The following is a 4229-nucleotide window of genomic DNA, read 5'->3' on the forward strand; positions in this document are numbered from 1 at the left end:
GCATTCAGCTGCTTCCCCATGGGCAGAAGCTCCCAGCAGGTAGGGCTGAAGTCTAGGTCAGCTCCACGTCCCCGGCCCCTAACACAGAGCTACATTTTTGTTAAATGAAAGAATTCAGGCCAGGTGCAGTGGCTCATGCCTGTAATCCCAGCACTTTGGGAAGCCGAGGAGGGTGGATCACGAGGTCAGGAGTTCAAGACCAGCCTGGCCAAGATGGTGAAACCCCATCTCTACTAAAAATACAAAAATTAGCCGGGCATGGTGGCAGGCACCTGTACAGCTACTTGGGGGTGCTGAGGCAAAGAATTGCTTGAATCTGGAAGGCAGAGGTTGCAATGAGCTGAGATCACGCCACTGCATTCCAGCGTGGGTAACAGAGCAGGACTCCATCTCAAAAATAAATAAATAAATAAATAATTTGGCTGGGCGCGGTGGCTCATGCCTGTAATCCCAGCACTTTGGGAGGCCAAGGCGGGTGGATCACTTGAGGTCAGGAGTTCAAGACCAGCCTGGTCAACATGGTGAAACCCCATCTCTACTAAAAAAAATACAAAAATTGAGGCGGGGCACAGTGGCTCATGCCTGTAATCCCAGCACTTTGGGAGGCTTAGGCAAACAGATCATGAGTTCAGAAGTTCGAGACCTGGCCTGGCCTGGCCAATATGGTGAAACCCCCATCTCTACTAAAAATACAAAAATTAGCCAGGCATGGTGATGCATGCCTGTAGTCCCAACTACTCAGGAGGCTGACACAGAAGAATCGCTTGAACCCGGGAGGCGGAGTGTGCAGTGAGCCGAGATCGTGCCACTGCACTCCAGCCTGGGCAACAGAGCAAGACTCCATCTCAAAAAACAAAACAAAACACAAAAATTAGCTTGGCGTGGTGGCATACGCCTGTAGTTCCACCTACTTAGGAAGCTGAGGCAGGAGAATCGCTTGAACCTGGGAGGCGGAGGTTGCAGTGAGCCGAGATTGCGGCACCACAGCACTTCAGCAGCATGGGTGACAGAGCGAGACTCTGTCTCAAAAAAAAAAAAAAAAAAAGAATTCACACACAGACACAGTCCCTAAGGAACATCAGGAAACAGGCAGACACTGAAACACAAAAACATACATACATAATGTGTAATGTACTGGATAAGAGCTTTGTGTTCAAGTCCTGACTATCTGGGTTCAAGTGCTGAATCCACGGTGTTACTAGCTGTGCTCCTTAGTCTCCTCATCTGCAGATAGTAGTAGGGCTGTGGTGAAGGCTAAATGAGAAATACATGTGAAGTACTGGCATATCACATGACTAGCGCTGGCACATGGCCACTCTGCAATAAAGATTAGCTATTGCTATGACTAACATTCATCCACATTCACTGGCAAATGTCCTCCTGCCCATGCGCACCACCCTCCCACCCCTCCTCTAGCCTAGCTCAGTCATAGATGCCCTCATGGTTGACAGTCCAGGCTCCCAGAGCCAAGAGGAAAGAGCAACTGCTTCTCTGCATCCCCTGGGCTGTACCTGAGCCAGCCCATGTGAGCTCCTCACCAGCTCTGGGTTCCATCAGAGATGGCTTCCTGGAGGAGGCCTGGACCCAAGGTGGGTGAGGGAGCCAGGGCAAAGCAGGAGAGTGCTACTCTGTGTCCTGGCTACCTCCATTGTTCTTTACAACACCCTCTCCCCCAACCTCTGCTGCAGCGGCCTCCCTCCCCCCACTCCCCCTTCCCACAGTAGAAATTTTCCTCTCTCCCCCTGCCAGAGTGTAAATTGCCCCCAGGAATGCAGTGAGTCCCACCGCTCCCCTGGCAGTGGCCGGCGGCTGTCCTGGGGTCAGGCCTGGCCCTACATCAAAGGCTGGGGATCAGTAACAGCAGCTCCTTGCCTGCCACCAGCCTCCCCTCCTCTCTCCTACCCTCCCACCGGCCCTTTGGCTTCCAAAACACAGCACATGGTAGCACTTAAGCTCTGGGAGGGCATTTTTCCTGCACCCCCACCACCTACTAGCCACAATGAACTACTTGTTAGGAGACTATTTTAATTTTACTGAATGCAATTTCTGCTCCTGAGGCTTCTGTTGCCACCCGCTTCTTGGCCTTGGATGCCCAGTACAAATGTAGGGGAGGCCAACCCCCTAGGAGAAGGTGAAACCTGAATATGGAAATTTCACTGGTGTTGGAGGTCTGGGGCAGAAAGGGACAGTGTTACATCAGGGGAATGGGGCTGGTGCTCTGGCCTCCACTCAGGAAGTAAGGGGGGTTGATTAGGGGAGGGCTCAGAGGTAGCTTGTACACAACTCAGGAGGCCAGCATGGGAGTTTGAAGTATGTATGCGGCCAGACATCCTTGGCCAACGCTCTCTTCTAATGTTCTGGCTCCAGCAGGCAGGCGCTTAGCCTGGCAGCTATATGTAAGCTTTGCTTTCAGGTCCTGTAGGGGTGGCTGGAGGAGGGGGAGCACTCTCAGCCTCCGGTCAGCCTCTAAGATTTGCTCCATCAGGTGCATCTTCTAGCAAATTCTGAAAACCAGGGGTCCGGTGGTCACTCTCTGGGACAGTACAGTGGTGATTTGGAGACCCCTGGTGGCCAAAGGCTGAAGACCGAGACCTTTCCTTAGAGCTCCACCCAGCCAGCCCCAGGCCCAAAGGCCACCAGCATCAACCCTCCATCTCCAGAACTCTGCCATGAGTCAGACTACCCAAAAATTCTTGTTAGTCAGCCTCTCCCATATAGCCAGGCTCACCTGCCCCATCTTGTTGGGAGGGAATGGCCTAGCTTAGGGGGCTGTCTCAGCCTCACAGTCATAGTAAGAGAGGAATGTGTAATCTACAACCAATCAATGACATGGGTGGGGACCAGGAAGTTAGTTTCCTGGGGATTGCATGTTCCAAATACTTCTGCAGTCCCCAGCTCTTTCTTTCCCTCAGCCCCAATCGTGGGGCTGTAACTGGGAAAAGTCACTAAGGGAGCTTTGTTTCCACAGTTCCCTAATCCTGTAATGTTGCCCAAGTTTAACATTGGGAAAGGAAATATCCAAAACGTCACGACATACAAACCGCTGCTCAAAAGTAGGCTGTGGTACCCGGAGGAGAGGAAGGGCCGAGGGTCCCCCTGGAGAAGGGAAAGGGCGGTGTAGCTTTTTTTGGCAGGGTTCAGACACTACATAAAGCTTTCCACATCTGGGCCCCAACATTCATTCCCTTATTCATTCATTCAGACTCTGGTGTGACTGGACTGAGACCCACACTAAGTGCTAAGGACACAGTTAACCAAAATTGAATCACTGCCCTGGGACCCCAAATTATAATATGGAGGGGGACATAAAGAGGCTCAGAGGATGTTCCTATATTTGGGGACACGAAACTGACCATCCCTCTTTGGTGGCCTAATCCAGCTAGAGCCGGTAAGTCCTTGCAAACTGCCCTTCTCAGTGGTGTCTCAAAACCCTGGTCCTACCCTTGCACAACCAAAACACATCTCAAGCACAATGCATCTAAAACTGGCTCCCCCCATCTCAGGCCTGCACACATACTTTAGGGAAGGCCTGGGACCCCATTTCCCTCCAACAACCTGAGTGTCTAGACCTCAGGGCCTTAGGCTATCCCCAAGCAGTGCTACCAAATACAGCCTGACACAATCTCTGCTTCCTCCTTTTAAGATCTATCCCAAGCTCTCTAAGCCTGGGAGAGGGAGCTGTGGCCTGTTCCCTTTTTCCCCCATAGTGTTAACCAGGCAGTAAAAGAATCTTCATTAAGAGCATGGGTTTTGCCCTTTGGCCCAGCTTTGAACCCTAACTTTTCCACTTACTCACCATATGACCTGGGCAACTTATGGCCTCCACTCTAAAAATGGAATTCTTGTGAGCTGGCCAATGCATGCAAAGTGTTCAGTAGTGTCTTTCAAGTGGTAAGCACTCAACAAATAGCACCCCAACAACAGGGTTTATATGGCCTTTCTAGCCAGACCTTCCAACTTGGTGGCCAAGTGCCCAGGATAGTTCATTTTAGGTATGTCTGGAATAATGGTCTGCTTCTAGATTTTGCTGCACACACTAGAGCCAAAAGCGACTCTGAAGGGGCTTCAGTTGCTTATACTGGCTCCCAGGTTTCCCAGACACTCTCGTCTGTGGAGAGAAGCCACTGCTAAACCAAGTCAAAGAAAGACAGGGCCCATGAACCTACCTGGTCTCCTCACACCATTGTAACAAAACACCTGGGGATAAGCAGAAAGAAAACAGGACATGA

The sequence above is a fragment of the Homo sapiens genome, chromosome 1, assembly GCF_000001405.40.
Source record: "Homo sapiens chromosome 1, GRCh38.p14 Primary Assembly".
Lineage (NCBI taxonomy): Eukaryota > Metazoa > Chordata > Mammalia > Primates > Hominidae > Homo > Homo sapiens.